Source organism: Homo sapiens, chromosome 10 (assembly GCF_000001405.40).
Source record: "Homo sapiens chromosome 10, GRCh38.p14 Primary Assembly".
In the NCBI taxonomy this organism is placed as follows: Eukaryota; Metazoa; Chordata; class Mammalia; order Primates; family Hominidae; genus Homo; species Homo sapiens.
In genome coordinates this window covers 70625877-70648355 of record NC_000010.11, presented here as the reverse complement: position 1 = coordinate 70648355, position 22479 = coordinate 70625877, and the positions used below count along the sequence as shown (strand labels likewise).

Sequence of the window (22479 nt, the reverse complement as noted above, 5' to 3'; positions counted from 1 at the left end):
AAGTACAAGGGCAAGCAGTGAGCAACAGGCTTTTCTTCCCTGGGCCTTGCATGGGACCAGAGCATCCAGAAGCAGCATCTGAGACCATCTGGGTGAGGGTTAGTAGGGGAGCCAGGTACCTTGGGTTGTGGAGAAGGAAGGCAGCCAGGGCAGGGGTGGGCGTTTCCAGGACCATATCAAACTAATAAGGGAGAGGCCATTGAGGGGCAGCCTCTGACTTAGCTGACAACCCCTCCTCCATTTCTCTTGGCCATTGGTGACAGAGGACCCCTACCCTGGTGACCATCCACAGAGACTCCTACCCTTAGGGCTTCCTCCTCTGCCCCAGGGTCCCTCATTACTTCCCTGATCCTAGCAGGAGAAAAGGCCCCAGGGAACTCCAGCTGGTGGTGTTACAGGTAGACAGACACGCATGGGGCAAGAGAGAGCTCTCCTCCACCTACTACATTGAGCGATGGTTTGGCTGTTGTCACATTGTCTCTCTAAAAGTGATAAACTGGCAGTCAGCACCAGGGAGTGGCCGTTTCCTTATGGTCCACACCTGTTGCATTAAAGTGTTAATTGAATGCAGGTGCCAGGGAGAAGCAAAAAGGGGCTTCCAACAAAATCTCAGGTATTGGACTAATGAGCCTGGGCATGTGCATCAAGAGACAAAATGGTGGAGTATTACCTTCAGGGGGCACTCCACCAGAAGAGAGAAGAAAGCTTCAGATGGGTGTGCATACAACTTCCTAACCACACTGTACATGCTCACCTCCAAGTGTAAGGAGAGCACTGTGCATGTGGGCAGCCCACCCTAAGGGAAGAATCATGGGAAAGGGGCCAGCCTAGAAAGTCCTAGGATCAGGGCTAAACACTGCACTTGACCTTCACATGCCTGCTTGGGTTTCTTCCAAGCATGTTTTCCTTTCTTTCCTTTTCTGAAGGCTTTTAAATAAACTTCCACTCCTGCTCTGAAACGTGCATTGGTCTCTCCTTCTGCCTTATGCCCGTCAGTTGAATTCTTTCTTTCGGAGGAGGCAAGAATTGAGGTTGCTACAGACCTGTATGGATTCCCTGCCAGGTGACTCAGATACCTTTGACCCATAACAGTGGGAACCTGAGGGCTCCACCAATTCCACAGTTCCACAAAACTCTGAAATCAGGTGGCACAGGTTCAAGCCCTGGTGCCAACACTAACCATCCAGGTGAGTTGATCCAAGTTACTTTACCTTTAAGTGCCTCAGTTTCCTTCTCTGTAAAATTAAAAGAATAATGATATCCACTTATGAGGGATCTTTGTTTATTTCAATAGGTTTTTGGGGAACAAGTGGTGTTTGGTTACATGAATGAGTTCTTCAGTAGTGATGTCTGAGATTTTGCGCACCCATCACGTGAGCAGTGTACACTGTACCCAATGTGTAGTCTTTTATCCCTCACCCACTCCCACCCTTTCCCCCAAGTCCCCAAAGTCCATGGTATCATTCTTATGCCTTTGCATCCTTCCATGAGGGATTTTCTAAAGATGAATCCAATGATTCATGGGCCGTGCTAAGCAATCATGAAGCAGCTGCACCACAAATAATGACCGCTGTGATCCTAACAGTGTTTCTGGAGGGAAAACTGAAGGCAGAAAGTGGAGTTGAATGGGCCAAGGTCATGCTGTGGGAGAATGTAAGCTCTGATATTCCAAACCAGGTCCCCCAACGTCCTGTCCAGGGTACCCACTCCAGCCAGGGGTGCCCTGTTGACAAATTCCGCTTTCTTTTTTCCATCTTCTCTCCAACCTCAGCAGCTTTGCACCCCTACCTGGGCACTAGATCCCTCAGCAGGGGGATTCCACACACTGCCCCTGATACATATAGGATCTGGAAGTGTTTTAGGCAAGTAAGCTATGCTCATGAGGGTCAGACAGAGGTCAGTTTGAGTCCTGGCTCTGCCACTTAACAGCTCTGTGACTTAAGGGATGTTTCTTAAACCCTCTGAGCCTCAGTTTCTCCATATGGAAAATAGGGAAATCATAGACCTAGTTTCTTGGTCTGTGGTTAGGGTGAAATGTATGGAAAGTGTATAACAGAGCACCTGGTACATTGTAAGGATTCAACAAATGGCTGTTAATCTGACTGCATTTGATATTATTGCTTTAAATGAGCAAATTACAAAATAAGACACCCAGATCTGGGGGCTTTGGTAGATTCTGTGCTCAGTTTTTTTTTTCTAAATGAGATCATGGATGAGCATGAAAGCCCCCTGACAATTGTACAGAGCTATGCAGGTGACAGAGGAGATGCTGTTCATGACTATAGGGTGCACAAACACGCTCCCATCACAAAGGCCTGAAAGCAGAGCCCTAAGCAGAGTTACAGCAGGGTGAGGGCCAGGTGACCACAGACTGAGCCCTCACCACCAGGGTAAGAGCAAAAGGTGAAGATGGCCATGATGCCTACAGCCCACTAGGTCATTTCACATTCACAGTAACCCTCTGATTTGCTGGGCAGGTGGATATTAATGCCCCTGTTTTCAGATGTGGAAACGGAGGCTCCAGCCCAGGGTCACAAAGATCTGGCCTGCACCCCTGCATCTCCAAAGGCTAATGTTTTTGTTTTTTAACAAAAGCTCTATATTTACCCCAAAGATAAATTGCCTTGTAACTCTACCCCAAACCAAAAGGAAAAGAAAAAGCTGCTCATAAATTTAAAATGGCATTTCCCTCATTTATTGACAGAAAGCATTCAAACATAAAAGGGTCGGAGGTCACTTCGAAGATGGCCGAATAGGAAGACCTCCAGTCTGCAGCTTCCAGCAAGATCAACACAGAAGACAGGTGATTTCTGCATTTGCAACTGAGGTACCTGGTTCATCTCACTAGCACTCGTTGGACAGTGGGTGCAGCTCATGGAGGGTGGGCTGAAGCAGGGCGAGGCGTTGCCTCACCCGGGGAAGCACAAGGGGTCAGGGGATTTCCCTTTCCTAGCCAAGGGAAGCCGTGACAGACTGTACCTGGAGAAATGGTGCACTTCTGACCAAATACTGAGCTATACACAGTCCTAGCAACTGGCACACCAGGAGACACCCTCCCATGCCTGGCTTGGTGGGTCCCACGCCCACGGAGCCTTGCTCACTGCTAGCACAGCAGTCTGAGATCGACCTGCGATGCTGCAGCTGGATGAAGGGAGGGGCATCTGCCATTGCTGAGGCTTGAGTAGCTCACAGTGTAAACAAAGAGCACGAACTGGATGGAGCCCACCACAGCTCAGCAAGGCCTACTGTCTCTATGGATTCCACCTCTGGGGGCAGGGCATAGTAGAACAAAAGGCAGCAGACAGCTTCTGCAGACTTAAACGTCCCTGTCTGACAGCTCTGAAGAGAGCAGTGGTTCTCTCAGCACGGCGTTTGAGCTCCAAGAACAGACAGACTGCCTCCTCAAGCAGGTCCCTGACCCCTGTGTAGCCTGACTGGGAAACACCTCCCAGTAGGGGCTGACAGACACCTCAAACAGGCAGGTGCCCCTCTGGGATGAAGCTTCTAGAGGAAGGATCAGGCAGCAATCTTTGCTGCTCTGCAGCCTCCGCTGGTGATATCCAGGCAAACAGGATCTGGAGTGGACCTCCAGCAAACTCCAACAGACCTGCAACTGAGGGGTCTGACGTTAGAAGGAAAACTAACAAACAGAAAGGAATAGCATCAACATCAACAGAAAGGACATCCACACCAAAACCCCATCTATAGGTCACCAACATCAAAGACCAAACATAGATAAAACCGCAAAGATGGGGAGAAACCAGAATAGAAAAGCTGAGAATTCCAAAAAAACAGAGCACCTCTTCTCCTCCAAAGGATTGGAGCTCCTCGCCAGCAAGGGAACAAAGCTGGATGGAGAATAAGTTTGACGAGTTGACAGAAGTAGGCTTCAGAAGGTTGGTAATAACAAACTTCTCAGAGCTAAAAGAGCATGTTCTAACCCATCACAAGGAAGCTAAAAACCTTGAAAAAAGGTTAGACGAATGGCCAGCTAGAATAAACAACATAGAGAGGAGCTTAAATGACCTGATGGAGCTGAAAACCATGGCATGAGAACTTTGTGATGCATGCACAAGCTTCAATAGCTGATTCAATCAAGTGGAAGAAAGGATATCAGTGATGGAAGATCAAATTAATGAAATAAAGCGAGAAGACAAGATTAGAGAAAAGAGAGTGAAAAGAAATGAACAAAGCCTCCAAGAAATATGAGACTATGTGAAAAGACCAAATATATATTTGATTGGTGTACTGGAAAGTGATGGGGAGAATGGAACCAAGTTAGAAAACACTCTTCAGGGTAGGATCTAGGAGAACTTCCCTAACCTAGCAAGGCAGGCCAATATTCAAATTCAGGAAATACAGAGAACACCACAAAGGTACTCCTCCAGAAGAGCAACCCCAAGACACATAATTGTCAGATTCACCAAGGTTGAAATGAAGGAAAAAATGTTAAGGGCAGCCAGAGAGAAAGGTCGGGTTACCCACAAAGGGAAGCCCATCAGACTAACAGCGGATCTCTTGGCAGAAACCCTACAAGCCAGAAGACAGTGGGGGCCAATATTCAATATTCTTAAAGAAAAGAATTTTCAACCCAAAACCTCATATCCAGCCAAACTAAGCTTCATAAGTGAAGGAGAAATAAAATACTTTACAGACAAGCAAATGCTGAGAGATTTCGTCACCACCAGGCCTGCCTTATAAGAGCTCCTGAAGGAAGCACTAAACATGGAAAGGAACAACCAGTACCAGCCACTGCAAAAACATGCTAAATGGTAAAGACCATTGATGCTATGAAGAAACGGCATCAATTAATGGGCAAAATAACCAGCTAGCATCATAATGACAGGATCAAATTCAAACATAACAATATTAACCTTAAATGTAAATGGACTAAATGCCCCAATTAAAAGACACAGACTGGCAAATTGGATAAAGAGTCAAGACCCATCGGTGCTGTATTCAGGAGACCCATCTCATGTGCAAAGACGCATATAGGCTCAAAATAAAGGGATGGAGGAAGATCTACCAAGCAAATGGAAAGCAAAAAAAAGCAGGGGTTGCAATCCCAGTCTCTGATAAAACAGACTTTAAACCAACAAAGATCAAAAGAGACAAAGAAGGCCACTACACAATGGTAAACAGATCAATTCAACAAGAAGAGCTAACTATTCTAAATATATATGCACCCAATACAGGAGCACCCAGATTCATAAAGCAAGTCCTTAGAGACCTACAAAGAGACTTAGACTCCCACACAATAATAATGGGAGACTTTAACACCCCATTGTCAATATTAGACAGATCAACGAGACAGAAGGTTAACAAGGATATCCAGGACTTGAACTCAGCTCTGCACCAAGCAGACCTAATAGACATCTACAGAACTCTCCACCCCAAATCAACAGAATATACATTCTTCTCAGCACCACATCTCACTTATTCTCAAATTGACCACATGATTGGAAGTAAAGCACTCCTCAGCAAATGAAAAGAACAAAATCATAACAAATTGTCTCTCAGACCACAGTGCAATCAAATTAGAACTCAGAATTAAGAAACTCACTCAAAACCGCACAACTACATGGAAACTGAACAACCTGCTCCTGAATGACTACTGCATAAATAAGGAAATGAAGGCAGAAATAAAGATGTTCTTTGAAACCAATGAGAACAAAGACACAATGTGCCAGAATCTCTGGGACACATTTAAAGCAGTGTGTAGAGGGAAATTTATAGCACTAAATGCCCACAAGAGAAAGCAGAAAAGGTCTAAAATCGACACCCTGACATCACAATTAAAAGAACTAGAGAAACAAGAGCAAACACATTCAAATGCTAGTGGAAGGCAAGAAATAACTAAGATCAGAGCAGAACTGAAGCAGATAGACATACAAAAAAAACCTTCAAAAAAATCAATGAATCCAGGAGGTGGTTTTTTTAAAAGACCAACAAAATAGATAGACCACTAGCAAGACTAATAAAGAAGAAAAGAGAGAAGAATCAAATAGATGCAATAAAAAATGATAAAGGGGATATCACCACCCAATCCCACAGAAATACAAACTACCATCAGAGAAAACTATAAACACCTCTACGCAAATAAACTAGAAAATCTAGAAGAAATATATAAATTCCTGGACACATACACCCTCCCAAGACTAAACCAGGAAGAAGCTGAATCTCTGAATAGACCAATAACAGTTTCTGAAATTGAGGCAATAATTAATAACCTACCAACCAGAAAAAGTCCAGGACCAGATGGATTCACAGCTGAATACTACCAGAGGTACAAAGAGGAGCTGGTATCATTTCTTCTGAAACTATTCCAATCAATAGAAAAAGAGGGAATCCTCCGTAACTCATATTATGAGGTCAGCATCATCCTGATACCAAAGTCTGGCAGAGACACACAAAAAAGAGAATTTTAGACCAATATCCTTGATGAACATCGATGCGAAAATCCTCAATAAAATCCTGGCAAACCGAATCCAGCAGCACATCAAAAAGCTTATCCATTACGATCAAGTTGGCTTCATCCCTGGGATGCAAGGCTGGTTCAACATATGCAAATCAATAAACATAATCCATCACATAAACAGAACCAACGACAAAACCACATGATTATCTCAATAGATGCAGAAAAGGCCTTCGACAAAATTCAACAGCTCTTCATGCTAAAAACTCTCAATAAACTATGTATTGATGGAACATATCTCAAAATAATAAGAGCTATTTATGACAAACCCACAGCCAATATCATACTGAATGGACAAAAACTGGAAGCATTCCCTTTGAAAACCGGCACAAGACAAGGATGCCCTCTCTCACCACTCCTATTCAACATAGTGTTGGAAGTTCTGGCCAGGGAAATCAGGCAAGAGAAAGAAGTAAAGGGTATTTAATTAGGAAAGGAGGAAGTGAAATTGTCCCTGTTTGCAGATGACATGATTTTATATTTAGAAAACCCCATCGTCTCAGCCCAAAATCTCCTTAAGCTGATAAGCAACTTCTGCAAAGTCTCAGGATACAAAATCAATGTGCAAAAATCACAAGCATTCCTATACACCAATAACAGACAAACAGAGAGCCAAATCATGAGTGAACCCCCATTCACAATTGCTTCAAAGAGAATAAAATACCTAGGAATCCAACTTACAAGGGATGTGAAGGACCTCTTCAAGGAGAACTATAAATCACTGCTCAATGAAATAAAAGAGGACACAAACAAATGGAAGAACATTCCATGCTCATGGATAGGAAAAATCAATATCATGAAAATGGCCATACTGCCCAAAGTAATTTATAGATTCAATGCTATCCCCGTCAAGCTACCATTGCCTTTCTTCACAGAACTGGAAAAAAACTACTTTAAAGTTCATATGGAACCAAAAAAGAGCCCGCATCACCAAGTCAATCCTAAGCAAAAAGAACAAAGCTGGAGGCATCACGCTACCTGACTTCAAACTATACTACAAGGCTACAGTAACCAAAAAAGCATGGTACTGATACCAAAACAGATATATAAATGAATGGAGCAGAATAGAGGCCTCAGAAATAACACCACACATCTACAACCATCTGATCTTTGACAAACCTGACAAAAACAAGCAATGGGGAAAAGATTCCCTATTTAATAAATGGTGCTGGGAAAACTGACTAGCCATATGTACAAAGCTGAAACTGGATCCCTTTCTTACACTGTATACAAAAATTAACTCAAGACTGATTAAAGACTTAAATGTAAGCCCTAATACCATAAAAAACCCTAGAAGAAAACCTAGGCAATACCATTCAGGACATAGGCATGGGCAAGGACTTCATGACTAAAACACCAAAAACAATGGCAACAAAAGCCAAAATAGACAAATGGGATCTAATTACACTAAAGAGCTTCTCCACAGCAAAATAAACTATCATTAGAGTGAACAGGCAACCTACAGAATGGGAGAAAATTTTTACAGTCTACCCATCTGACAAAGGGCTAATACCCAGAATCTACAAAGAACTTAAACAAATTTACAAGAAAAAAAAAAACCCATCAAAAAGTGGGAAAAGGATATGAACAGACACTTCTCAAAATAAGACATTTATGCAGCCAACAGACATGTAAAAATGCTCATCATCACTGGTCATCAGAAAAATGCAAATCAAAACCACAATGAGATACCATCTCACGCCAGTTAGAAAGGCAATCATTAAAAAGTCAGGAAATAGTAGATGCTGGAGAGGATGTGGAGAAATAGGAACGCTTTTACACAGTTGGTGGGAGTGTAAATTAGTTCAACCATTGTGGAAGACAGTGTGGTGATTCCTCAAGGATCTAGAACTAGAAATACCATTTGACCCAGCAATCCCATTACTGGGCATATACCCAAAGGATTATAAATCATTCTACAATAATGATACACACACACGTATGTTTATTGTGGCACTATTCACAATAGCAAAGACTTGGAACCAACCCAAATGTCCATCAACGATAGACTGGATTAAGAGAAGGTGGCACATATACACCATGGAATACTATGCAACCATAAAAAAGGATGAATTCATGTCCTTCGCAGGGACATGGATGAAGCTAGAAACCATCATTCTAAGCAAACTATCACAAGGACAGAAAACCAAACACTGCATGTTCTCACTCATAGGTGGGAGTTGAACAATGAGAACACATGGACACAGGGCGGGAACATCACATACCGGGGCCTGCCAGGGGGTGAGGGGCTGGGGGAGGGATAGCATTAGGAGAAATACTTAATGTAAATGACAAGTTGATGGGTGCAGCAAACCAACGTGGCACATGTATACCTATGTAACAAAACTGCACGTTGTGCACATGTACCCTAGAACTTAAAGTATAATAAAAAAGAAATAATAATTTAAAAAAAAAACTTAAAAGCGTCTAAAATATCAGAACGCCACTTTATAGTGAGAAGCAGAGTCTCCAAAAAGTAGAATCTCAGCATGCACTGGTCTGATCTGCCCCACTTCTCCCCCAGTGCACATACTCCGCCCCTGCCGACTCCTCTACCCAGTGCTCAGGCACCAGCAGCTGTCTGCATCTCCCCAGTGATGGGAAGCTCACTACCTCCCAAGGGTACTTATTTTATAATGGGACAATTATTTTCACTTTTTCCTTTTTTCTTTTTTTTTTTTTTAAGACAGGGTCTTTGTCGCCCAGGCTGGAGTGCAGTGGTGTGATCTCCACCTCTCAGGTAGAGGCAATCCTCCCACCTCAGCCTCCTGACTAGCTGGGACTACAGGAGCACGCCACCATGCCCAGCTAATTTTTGTATTTTTTTTTTTTTTTTTTTTTTTTTTTTTGGTAGAGACAAGGTTTCATCATGTTGGCCAGGTTGGTCTCAAACTCCTGACCTCAAGTGGTCCACCCGCCTCGGCCTCCCAAAGTGCTGGGATTAGAGGCATGAGCCACCATGCCCAGCCTATTTAAAAAAAAAAAAAATGGTTGCCGGGAGCGGCAGCTCATGCCTGTAATCCCAGCACTTTGGGAGGCCAAGGCGGGCAGATCACCTGAGGTCGGGAGTTCAAGACCAGCCTGACCAACATGGAGAAACCCCATCTCTACTAAAAATACAAAATTAGTCATGGTGGTGGTGCATGCCTGTAATCCCAGCTACTCGGGAGGCTGAGGCAGGAGAATAGCTTGAACCCGGGAGGCGGAGGTTGCTGTGAGCCGAGATCGCGCCATTGCACTCCAGCCTGGGCAACAAGAGCGAAACTCCATCTCAGAAAAAAAGGTTGTGGTTAATTTGTGCCTGATAACTTTTAAATGTAAAGGTATAATGAGAGTTCATGGCAAGAATGATGCAACTGACAAATTTCCTTTATATATGTGGCATGAAAAACAAGATAATAGGCCAGGAGCGGTGGCTCACGCCTGTAATCCCAGCACTTTGGGAGGCTGAGGCAGAGGATCACCTGAGGGGTTCGAGGCCAGCCTGACCAACGTGGCGAAACTCTGTCTCTACTGAAAATACAAAAATTAGCTAGGCATGGTGGTACTTTCCTGTAATCCCAGCTACTCGGGAGGCTGAGGCAGGAGAATCGCTTGAACCCAGGAGGCAGAGGTTGCAGTGAGCCGAGATCGTGCCACATTGCACTCCAGCCTGGGCTACAAGAGCGAGACTCTGTCTTAAAAAAAAAAAAAAAAAAAAAAAGGAAAGGAAGGAAGGAAGGAAGGAAGGATCATAAGCTGTCCAGAAAGCCCCTCCATGTACTACCCTCTCCATCCCTAACACTGCTTGACAAAATGACCAGTCTTCTGACTTCTGTCGCCACAGATTCATTTTCCCCATTTTAAATTTCATTTACATGGAATCATACAGTTTGTATTCTATTGTGTCTGGTTTTGTTCACTCAACTTTTTTTTTTTTTTTTTTAGACGGAGTCTCACACTGTCGCCCGGTCTGGAGTGCAATGGTGTGATCTCGACTCACTGCAACCTCCACCTCCTGGGTTCAAGCCATTCTCCTGCCTCAGCCTCCCAAGTAGCTGGGATTACAGGAGCCCGCCACTGCACCCAGCTAATTTTTTGTATTTTTGGTAGAGACAGGGTTTCACTATGTTGGCCAGGCTGGTCTCAAATTCAACATTTTTATGTGAGATTCATCCATACTTGTCTCTTGTATCAGTCATTCATCATTTTTTTGCTGCTGTATAAAATTCCATTGCATGAATATTCTATCATTTATTCACCCATCCTATTGTTTATGGGCATTTGGGTTGTTTCCATTTGGGCTATTTATGCACAGCACTGCCATGACCAGTCTTGTACATATCCTTTGTTGGACATAAGCAATTATTTCTATGGGGGCAGGAGTGGGACTGCTTGCTCTTAGGTGTATGTATGTTTACCTTTTAAAAAATTACTAAATAGTTATTTAAACAGTTTGATGTTTTTTGCCTCCTTTTTCTTTTTCTGTTTGTTTGATTTGTTTGTTTGTTTGTTTTTAGATAGGGTCTCACTCTGTCGCCCAGACTGGAGTGCAGTGGTGTGACCACAACTCACTGCACCCTCAACCTCCTAGGGCTCAGGTGATTCTCCTACCTCAGCCTCGCTAGTAGCTGGGACTACAGGCATGCGCCACCACGCCTGGCTAATTTTTGTGTTTTTTGTAGAGATAGGACTCCCTATGTTGCCTAGGCTGGTCTTGAGCTCCTGGGCTCAAGTGATCCACCCGCCTCTGCCTCCCAAAATGCTGGGATTACAGGCGTGAGCTGCCACGCCCGGCCGCTTTTTGCCTTTTTCTTATGGATTTGCTGTTTTTCACATTTAGTTCTACATCCAGCTGGAATTTATTTCATATGGGGTACAGTGAGATTCAAGATACATCTTTTTCCTCTCTGGGTATCCAAATTTCATCTACCATTTATTGAAAAGAACATTCTTTCATTGCATTTCAGTGACTTGCATGTCACCATTCTGGTGACCATATGTGGGTATTTGTTTCTGGACCTTATTCAGCCCCATTGGCCTATTTTTCTATATTTATGCTAATACCACACTGACTTAGTTATCGTAGGTTTATAACAAGTCTTTATATTTGGTGGTACAAGTTCTCCATTCCAGCTTTGGTTTCTATCTATTCTTGACTAGCCTTGGCTCTTTATATTTTCTATAAATTTTAGAATTTGCATGTACATTTCCATAACAGAACCTTAGGGTTTTTACTGGGATTGCATTACAAATGCCGATCAAATTAGGGAGTAATGACTTGTCTACAATCTTGAATTTTCTAATTCATGAATGTTGACATATCTCTCCCTTACATGATTTCCCTCGGTACGTGTTTTGGAGATTTTTGTATAGCAGTCATCCTTCACTAAACTTATCCCTAGGAATTTGTTGTATTATGATGCTCCCATAAATGAAATCCTTCTTTGTATTTCATTTTATGATTGTTGCTGGTATGTCTACTTTGAATCCAGTGGCATTACTAATTTACTTATTAATTGAATCATTTTTTATTAGATTCTTTCCATTTTCAATTTACTCAATATGTCATCTTCAAAAAATGATTGTTTTATTTCTTTCCAATCATAGGCCTTTATTTCCTTTTCTTGCTTATACTGGATGCAACCCAGTGCCTGTTGAATACAGCTGGTGAAAGCAAGCCCCCTGGTCTTATTCCATTTTCCAAGAAAAATTATTTAATATTTCAACTTCAAGTATGATGCTACCTGTAATTCTCATTCTTAAATTGTTGAGTTTTTTAATCATGAAAGAGTATCAAATTTTATTGCATGCTTTGCCTACATCTACTGAGATTATCATATGATTTTTTTATCCTTTTACTCTGTTATATGATAAATTATGTTGATTGATTCCCAAATAATAAGCCATCCTTGCATCCTTTCCAAAGCTGGAATAAACCCAGCTTTGTCATGTCAGATTATCTTTTTTATATACTGCCGGATTCAATTTGCTAAAACATTTTTGGAATTTTTACATCTATGATTATGAGAGAGACTTACCTGTAATTTTTATGTTTTATAATATTCTTGTGAAGTTCTGTGATCAAGGTGATTCTGACCTCATAAAATGAAGGAACTGTTTTCCCTGGAAAGTTTTAGGTAAGATTAATGTTATATTGCCCCTAAATATTTGGATGAAACCCACGGTTTAGGCCTAGAGTTATCTTTGTAGGAATGTGTTTGTGTTTGTGTGTGTGTGTGTGTGTGTGTGTGTGTGTGTGTGTGTTTATTTGTTTTTTAAAAGATTAAATTGATTTTCTAGCCAGGCACAGTAGGTCAGGCCTATAATCCCAGCACTGTGGGAAGTCGAGATAGGAGAATCCTTTGAGGCGAGGAGTTTGAAGAGGTACGCCATGGAACATGCAGTGAGCTATGATGGCACCACTGCACCCCAGCCTGGGCGACATAGCAAGACTCTACCTCAAAAATAAATAAATAAATAAATGGATTTTCTGCTATCGTAACTAAGACTTTGTGGTATTGCCAAAGGATAAACATAAAAGGTCAATGGGATAGAAATGAGAATCCAGGCCAGGCACGGTGGCTCACGCCTGTAATCCCAGCACTTTGGGAGGCGGAGGCAAGCAGATCGCTTGAGGTCAGGAGTTCAAGACCAGACTGGCCAACATGGTGAAACCTCATTTCTACTAAAAATACAAAAATTAGCTGGATGTGGTGGCACACTCCTGTAATCCTAGCTACTTGGGAGGCTGAGACAGGAGAATCACTTGAACCTGGGAGGCAGAGGTTACCGTGAGCTGAGATCACGACACTGCACCCCAGCCTGAGTGACAAAAAAAAAATGAAATGAGAATCCAGAAATAAACTTTATTGTAAATGTTTTAAATTTTCTGCATATTGTTAGATATGAGTTCTAAATTTCTTTTCAAATAATTAATATGTCAGTATGTTCAATTATTTGCCTCCTACTTTTAAACTTAACTTCCTCTTAAAGCAACCTTTTTCAATTACCTACTCCACCTTGACTCATTCCAATTACCTACTCCACCCTGACTCATTCTGATCACCTGCTCCACCCTACATTCCAATCACCTGCTCCACCCTAACTCATTCCAATTACCTGCTACCTGCTCTACCCTGACTCCCGCCAAAGCACTCACCCCATTCTCTTTAAATTAGCCAATCGGAATTAGTTTAGCCTGTGTGGTCTAACCCTAGCCAATAGGGGAACGATACAGCAGCAGGGGCCACGTGCATCAGGGATAAGAACCCTTCCCCCTCCCTTGTCCAAGTGTGCGCTCACCATTGTTCCATCTGTAAGGGTGCACCCTTCTATATAGAAGTAACTTGCCTTGCTGAGAATTAAAAAGAAAATTTTATATTCAAGTGCTATTCCTTTTGCGGCACCAAAACTTTGTATATAACAATATTATAATAGTTTGACATCCTAAAAATCAAATTTAAAATAAAAACAAAGAAAAAAAAACATTTCTAACTGGGGACAGACCTCCCCTCCAACTAATTAGCCAATTCTGAAAGACAGCAAAGGGCCCTGCCGGGAGTGGGTCTTTCAAATGCAAACTAGCCAACGCAGAGCCACACCTCTGCCTCACTCCTCCCTCTGCCTCACTCCTCCCTCTGCCTTACTCATCCTTCTGCCTTACTCATCCTAGGGCCAGGTGGCAGACGGCTGGGTACACCCCTAGAGCCCAAAGCCCACTGAAATGGTTCAACACAGCCAATCCTAAACTGTTCATCCTGCCTTGCCTTCCCTCTCCAAGGAAGCCCCAGGAAAGGCTCTGGCCCCAGTCTGTCCCTTGCTCCTCTCTTCTGCCTCCTGCCCTCCCTGGCATCTTTCCCATGTGGACCTGCACGGTGTGCTGCACCTCTTGTCTTCAGGACTGCTATGGTTTGCGTGTCACCTCCAAAACTCATGTCGGAATTTAATTGTCATTGGGACAGTATAAGAGGTGGGACCAAGCCGGGCACAGTGGCTCACGCCTGTAATCCCAACATTTTGGGAGGCTGAGACAGGCGGATCACTTGAGGTCAGGAGTTTTAGACCAGCCTGGCTTACATGGTTAAACCCTGTCTCTACTAAAAATACAAAAATTAGCTGGGCGTGGTGGTGCACACCTGCAGTCCCAGCTGCTCAGGAGGCTGAGGCAGGACAATTGCTTGAACCCAGGAGGCGGAGGTTACAGTGAGTAAGACTCTGTCTCAAATTTAAAAAAACAAACAAACAAAAAAAGAGGTGGGACCAGGTGGCACTTTTAAGAGGTGATTAGGTGGTGACCAGAAGCCTTACCATTAACATACACAGGTGATTAACATATTTCATATATTGTGTATATCATATACTATATTGTTACAATAAAGGAAGCTAGAGAAAGGAAATGTAAAGATAATCACAAGAAAAAGCAAATATATTTACTGTTCATTTAATAGAAGTGTATCATCATAAATGTCTTCATCCTCTTGATGTTCACGTTTAGTAGGCTGAAGAAAGGGAGGGGGTTGATCTTGCTGTCTCGGGTGACAGAGGCAGAAGAGATGGAGGAGGTGGAAGGGGAGGCAGGAGAGGAAGGCTCGCTCAGTGTAACTTTACAGAAATACATCCTACTTTCTATCTGACTTTTTTGCTTTTTTATTTCTCTAAACATGTTTCTATGTGGTCCCACGCCTTCTTCCACCATTTGCTTTAGTTTCAGTGCCTGTAGAATGTCCCTGTTGTAAAAGTCAAGAGTAGTCTTGAATAATTGGAACGCTTCTGCCAGATTGTCTAATGTCAATTTGTTTCTGGCGCTATTTGTTCTGTGTCTTCTTTCTCATCATCTTGCAGTTGTTTGGAAGCATTCATCTCCATCAAGTCATCTTCTATTAATTCCTCTGATGTGGTGTCTATTAGCTCTTGAATTTCTCCAAGATCCATATCTTGAAACCCTTCACCACCATCCCCCGACCTTTTTGCCATAACCACAATCTCTGTTTTGAGTTCTTTGATTGGCTCTGTCATAAATCCTACGAAGTCATGCACAACATCTGGACACAGTTTTCTCCAGCAGGAATTTATTGATTCAGGCTTGATGGCTTTCACAGCTTTTTCTGTAGCAATGATGACATCTTTAATGGTGTAATCCTCCCAGATATTCGTGATATTCTCTCTGTCTTGGTTTTCTTCCATCACATTGACAATCCTTTATTCCATAGAGTGTGGTGTGTAATGAGCCTTAAAGGTTCTTATGGCCACCTGATCTAGGGGCTGAATTAGAGACGTATTTGGGAGCAAGTACACTACTTCAATACCTTCAGTGTTGAACCGATGGGGTTCTGGGTGGCCAGGAATATTGTCCAATATCAAAAGAACTTTAAAAGACAGTCCTTACTGGCAAGATGTTTCCTAACTTCAGGGACAAAGCATTAATGGAACCAATCCAGAAAGGGTTCTCATTGTCCAAGCCTTCTTGTTGTACAACAAAAAGACTGGCAGCTGGTGTTTATCTTTTCTCTTCATGGCACAGGGGTTAGCAGCCTTATAGATAAAGGCAGTCCTGATCATATGTCTGACTGCATTTGCACAAAATAGTAGAGTTAATTTATCCCTTCCTGGAGTAAATCCTGATGCTGACTTTTCTCCTTACTAACATATGTAATGTTATTTTATTTTTAGTGGAGATGAGATCTCACTATGTTGCCATGGCTGGTCTCAAATTCCTAAGCTCAAGCCATCCTTCCTCCTCGGTCTCCCAAAGTGCTGAGATTACAGGTATGAGCCACCATGCCCAGCCTCCACAATGATTTTCTTAAAGGCATCTGGAAACTCGTCTGCTGCCTTTTGATCAGCAGAAGCTCCTCTTCCTGTCATCTTGACATTTTTTTTTTCTTTTTCTCATTTCTTTTTTTTTTTTTAATTGATCATTCTTGGGTGTTTCTCGCAGAGGGGGATTTGGCAGGGTCATAGGACAGTAGTGGAGGGAAGGTCAGCAGATAAGTGAACAAAGGTCTCTGGTTTTCCTAGGCAGAGGACCCTGCGGCCTTCCGCAGTGTTTGTGTCCCTGGGTACTTGAGATTAGGGAGTGGTGATGACTCTTAACGAGCATGCTGCCTTCAAGCATCTGTTTAACAAAGCACATCTTGCACCGCCCTTAATCCATTTAACCCTGAGTGGACACAGCACACGTTTCAGAGAGCACAGGGTTGGGGGTAAGGTCACAGATCAACAGGATCCCAAGGCAGAAGAATTTTTCTTAGTACAGAACAAAATGAAAAGTCTCCCATGTCTACCTTTCTACACAGACACGGCAACCATCCGATTTCTCAATCTTTTCCCCACCTTTCCCCCCTTTCTATTCCACAAAACCGCCATTGTCATCATGGCCCGTTCTCAATGAGCTGTTGGGTACACCTCCCAGACGGGGTGGTGGCCGGGCAGAGGGGCGCCTCACTTCCCAGTAGGGGCGGCCGGGCAGAGGCGCCCCTCACCTCCCGGACGGGGCGGCTGGCCGGGCGGGGGGCTGACCCCCCCACCTCCCTCCCAGACGGGGTGGCTGCCGGGCAGAGGGGCTCCTCACTTCTCAGATGGGGCGGCTGCCGGGCGGAGGGGCTCCTCACTTCTCAGACTGGGCGGCTGCCGGGCAGAGGGGCTCCTCACTTCTCAGATGGGGCGGCTGCCGGGCGGAGGGGCTCCTCACTTCTCAGACTGGGCGGTTGCCAGGCAGAGGGTCTCCTCACTTCTCAGACGGGGAGGCCGGGCAGAGACGCTCCTCACCTCCCAGACGGGGTCACGGCCGGGCAGAGGCGCTCCTTACATCCCAGATGGGGCAGCGGGGCAGAGGCGCTCCCCACATCTCAGACAATGGGCAGCCGGGCAGAGATGCTCCTCACTCCCTAGATGGGATGGCGGCCGGGAAGAGGTGCTCCTCACTTCCTAGATGGGATGGCCGCCGGGCAGAGACGCTCCTCACTTTCCAGACTGGGCAGCCAGGCAGAGGGGCTCCTCACATCCCAGACGATGGGCGGCCAGGCAGAGACGCTCCTCACTTCCCAGACAGGGTGGCGGCCGGGCAGAGCCTGCAATCTCTGCACTTTGGGAGGCCAAGGCAGGTGGCTGGGAGGTGGAGGTAGTAGCGAGCCGAGATCACGCCACTGCACTCCAGCCTGGGCACCATTGAGCACTGAGTGAACGAGACTCTGTCTGCAATCCCGGCACCTCGGGAGGCCGAGGCTGGCAGATCACTTGCGGCTAGGAGCTGGAGACCAGCCCGGCCAACACAGCGAAACCCCGTCTCCACCAAAAAAATACGAAAACCAGTCAGGCGTGGCGGCACGCGCCTGCAATGGCAGGCACTCGGCAGGCTGCGGCAGGAGAATCAGGCAGGGAGGTTGCAGTGAGCCAAGATGGCAGCAGTACAGTCCAGCTTCGGCTCAGCATCCCATCTTGACATTTCTTAAGCCAAACCTCTTTGGCTTAAATGATCAAACCATCCTTTGCTAGTATTAAGTTCTCCAGCTTTTGATCCTTCACCTTCTTTTTGCTTTCAGTTGTCATGTAATGCCTTTGCTTTTTCTTGAATCATATTAGAGTTTATAGGTATGTCTTTATTACAGCAATCCTGCACCCACATAAAAGCTGCATTTTAAATATTAAATACAAGGGTATTTCAAAACAAGTGCAAAGTTTTTATGCCTGCTGTTGTGGCTGCAGCAACAATTTTGCTAATTTCCTTCTCTTTTTTTTTTATGATAGCCCTTATCCTGGATTCATTTGTCTTGAAATGATGGACAACTGCAGCAGCAGACCTCAATCTATGGTACATATCAAGCAATTCAACTTTTTCTTGTAATGTAATGACTTTTCTCTAATACTTGGTAACACCTCCAGCATCTCTAGTGGCACTTCATATGGGTCCCCTGGTGTTATTCAAGATTTATGGTATTGCACTAAATGCAATTAAAAACAAAACAAAACATGAGAACCATAGAGATTCTCACTTAGTCTGGGCAACAGAGTGAGACCTTTTCCCCCTCCCCCCCCCAAAAAAAAGTGCAGTGGCATGATCATGGCAGTGGCAGCCTCAACCTCCTGGGCTCAAGCAATCCTCCCACCTCAGCCTCCCTAGTAGCTGGGACCACAGATCGGTGCCAACACCTGGCTAATTGTTTTTATTTTTTGTAGAAACAGGGTTTCCTTATGTTGCTCAGGCTGGTCTCAAACTCCTGGGCTCAAGTGATCCTCCTTCCTCAGCCTCCCAAAATGCTGGGATTACAAGCATGAGCCACCACACCTGGCCAAGAGATCACTTTTTACTGTGATATGCAATTTTACTGGAGAGATGAGCTGCCCACATGGAGTGATTAGCATCACATGGTGTTTTAGGCAGATACTCACAACACTTGGTCTCACTGCAATAGCAACAGGAGGTGGCTATGCAGTTATCACAATAGTGCAGTATGGACTACAGTTGTTTTGAAGCAATTATGATTTAATACTGTATCTTTACATTTGTTTACGTTTCTCTCAACTCTGAATGGTGCCTTATAAGGTCAGTGTTTGTATTTGTAAGTTTTGATAAGTTTTAACTTTTTATAATAGATTTGTGTACATTTTATGGTTGTAAATAATAAAATAAACTGTGTCTACATATATTTTATGCGTTCATGATATACCTAACTTTTTCTTATGTTTTTTTTTTAATATTTCTAGGCTATGTGGTTCATCTGTGAGTTTTTTCAAATTGTTGTAAATCTCCAAAAAAATTCCCAATATATTTATTGGAAAAAATCCACATATATGTGGACCTGCACAGTTCAAACCTGTCTTGTTCAAAGGTCAACTGTATTATAAGACTCTTAGAAGAAAACATAGGCCCAAATCTTTTCAACTTCAGATTAGGCAACTGTTTCTTAGATATGACACCAAAAGCATAAGCAAAAAAATAAATAAATTGAAATTTATCAAAATTTGAAACTTTTGTGCATCAAAGAACATTATCAAAAAAGTGAAAAGACAACCTAGAGTGGGAAAAAGTTTTTGCAAATCATATGTCTAACAAGGATCTAGTATCCAGAATACATTAAAAAATTACAACTAAATAAAAAGACAAATACCGAAATAAAATATGGGCAAAGTATCTGAATAAACATTTCTCCAAATAACAGATACAAAATTACCAATAAGTACATAAAACTGTGTTCAACATTAGTCCTTAGGGAAACATAAATCAAAACCAAAATGAGATGTCACTTCACACCCACTAAGATGGCTACAACCAAAAAGACAATGCTGTGGTCTTGAATGTTTGTGTCCCCCAGCCCCTGAATCTATATGTTGAAACCTAATTCCCAATATGGTATTAGGAAATGGGGCATTTAGAGATAATTAGGTCATGAAAGCTCTACCCTAAGGAATGGGATGGGTGCCCTTATAAAAGAAGCCCCAAGGGAGTTTGTTTGCCCCTTCTCACATGTAAGGACACAACAAGAAGGTGCCATCTATGAAGGAGTGAGTGAGCCCTCACCAGACACCAAATCTGCTGGTGTCTTGATCTTGGACTTCCCAGCCTCCAGAACTATGAGCAATAAATCTCTATTGTTTATAAATTACCCAGTCTAAGGTAGTTAGTTATAGCAGCTCAAACAGACTGACTAAGATAATTGGCTAGGTTGTGGAGAAACTGGAACTCTCATACATTTTTCGTGGGAATGTGAAGTGGTGCAGCTGCTTTGGAAAACAGTTTGGCAATTCCTCCAAATGTCAAACCTAGAATTACTATAAGAACCAGCAATTCCACTTCCAGTAACATACCCAAGAGCAATGAAAGTGTATGTTCACACAAAGCTTATATATGAAGGTTCATAGCCCCATTGTTCATAATAATCAGAAAATAGAAACAACCCATCAACTTATGAGGTATAACCATACAGTGAAGTATTATTCAGAAATATCAAGAAAAATACTGATAAATTCTGCAACGTAGATGAATTTTGAAAGGATTATGCTAAGTAAAAGAAGCCAAACAAACAAACTACAACTTGTATGATCCCACTTACATGAAGTGTCAAGAATAGGCAAATCCATAGAGAAAGAAAGTAGATTAACAGTTGCCATGGGGATAGGATGGGGGAAGAGTAAATGGGGAAAGAGTACTAATTAGTAGGTTTCTTTTTGGGATAGTAAAAATGTTCTGGAACTAGATAATGATGATGATTGTATAACATTGTGAATGTTCTTAATGCTACTGAATCTTACACCTTAAAAGGGTAAGTCTTATGGTACACAAGTCTCAATTTTTTAAAAAGAAAACATTTATTTTCTGGCTATAGGTTACCCAGATTTTTAATGTATTTCTGTGTTAGCTTTGGTAAGCTATTGTTTTAAGGAAATGTACTGTTTTATCTAAATTGTCAAATTTATTGGCATAAAATTGTTCATAATATCTCCTTATGACCTTTTTAATGTTTGCAGGTGCTGTAGTAATGTCTCCTTTTTCATTTCTGATATTGCTAATTTGTACCTTCTCTCTCTCTCTCTTTTTTTTTTTCAAGACAGATTCTTGCTCTGTCTCCCAGCCTGGAGTGCAGTGACATGATCTCAGCTCACTGCAACCTCTGCCTCCCGGGTTCAAGTGATTCTGCTGCCTCAGATTCCTGAGTAGCTGGAACTACAGGTGTGTGCCACCACACCTGGCTAATTTTTGTATTTTTAGTAGAGACAAGGTTTCACCATGTTGACCAGGCTGGTCTTGAACTCCTGACCTCAAGTGATCCACCCGCCTCAGCCTCCCAAAATGCTGGGATTACAGGTGTGAGCCATGACAGCTGGTTGTTTCATTAACTTTTGCTCTTCTCTTTAGTATTTCCTTCCTCCACTGTTTGGATTTAATCTGTTGTCCTCTTTTAAACATCTTTAGATGTATACTTTGATTATTGATATTGTAAGGGAGGAAAAATAATTTTCTCTCTATTGTTTATTGAGGAAAAAAAGCCAAACTCTGTAAATATTTTAAAAGGTTTATTCTAAGTCATTATGAGTGAACATGGCCCGGAAAAGTCTCAAGAGGTTCTGAGAAGGTGTGCCCAAAGTAGTCAAGTAATAGTTTTTCTCACACGCATCCGTGTGAAGAGATCACCAAACAGGCTTTGTGTGAGCAATAAAGGTTTTTAATCATCTGGGTGTAGACGAGCTGAGTCCAAAAAGAGAGTCAGTGAAGGGAGATACGGGTGGGGCCGTTTTATAGAATTTGGGTAGGTAGTGGAAAATTACAGTCAAAGGGGGTTGTTCTTTGGTGGGCAGGGGCAGGGGACATAAGGTGCCCAGTGGAGGAGCTTCTGAGCCAGGAAAAGGAATTTCACAAGGTAGTGTCATCAGTTAAGGCAGGAACCGGCCATTTTCATTTCTTCTGTGATTCTTCACTTGCTTCAGGCCATCTGGATGTATATGTGCAGGCTTGGGCTCAGAGGCCTGACAGTTTTGTTTTATACATTTTGTGGGGGACAGAAGTTACAAGCAAAGACATAAATCAATACATAGAAGATGTACATTGGTTCAGCCCAGAAAGGCAGGACATTTTAAAGGAGGGACTTACAGGTATAGGTGGATTCAAAGATTTTCTGATTAGCAATTAGTTGAAAGACTTAAGCTTTGTCTAAAAATCTGAAGTCAGTAGAAAGAAATGCTTGAGTTAAGGGGGATTGTGGAAGCCAAGGTTCTTGTTATGCAGATGAAGCCTCCAGGTAGCAGGCTTCCTGAAAAGATGGCTTTGAAGGACTCTTTTAAAATATGTCAAATAATTATATTTTAGACTAAAATATTTTTATTTCCTTCAGGGTCTGCTATCTGTCATGTGATGTTATCCCAGAGTCAGGCTGGAATTTGCTACAAATAATCTGTTTTGTCAGCTTTATGATCTCTATTTTATGTTAATGCTGGTCAGTTGTTCCTAAACTCTTAAAAGGGAGGAGGTATAAAAAGGTGTGTCTGACCTCCCTTACTGTCATGGCCTAGAGTTGAGTTTTTCAGGTTTC

General features: G+C 42.9%; 4 annotated features.

Annotated features, from left to right (window-relative positions):
• Positions 5400-5569: an enhancer, noted in NCBI's record as "experimental_17237 CRE fragment used in MPRA reporter constructs". NCBI's record gives its function as "activates a minimal promoter by MPRAs in K562 erythroleukemia cells, with activity observed for the non-introgressed 10:72402628 or rs113570689 variant allele {active_cell/tissue: K562}" and the evidence as "EXISTENCE:reporter gene assay evidence [ECO:0000049][PMID:34662402]".
• Position 5484: a transcriptional cis regulatory region, noted in NCBI's record as "Neanderthal adaptively introgressed variant 10:72402628 (GRCh37/hg19 assembly coordinates) or rs113570689 in the experimental_17237 CRE". NCBI's record gives its function as "modulates activity of the experimental_17237 enhancer by MPRAs in K562 erythroleukemia cells {active_cell/tissue: K562}" and the evidence as "EXISTENCE:reporter gene assay evidence [ECO:0000049][PMID:34662402]".
• Positions 11098-11283: a silencer, noted in NCBI's record as "fragment chr10:72396829-72397014 (GRCh37/hg19 assembly coordinates)". NCBI's record gives its function as "represses an EF-1alpha promoter that drives an FKBP-Casp9 reporter gene in an ReSE screen in K562 erythroleukemia cells {active_cell/tissue: K562}" and the evidence as "EXISTENCE:reporter gene assay evidence [ECO:0000049][PMID:32094911]".
• Positions 15964-16595: an enhancer, noted in NCBI's record as "NANOG-H3K27ac-H3K4me1 hESC enhancer chr10:72391517-72392148 (GRCh37/hg19 assembly coordinates)". NCBI's record gives its function as "activates a minimal SCP1, AML or CMV promoter by ChIP-STARR-seq in primed H9 embryonic stem cells {active_cell/tissue: H9 hESC(primed)}" and the evidence as "EXISTENCE:reporter gene assay evidence [ECO:0000049][PMID:30033119]".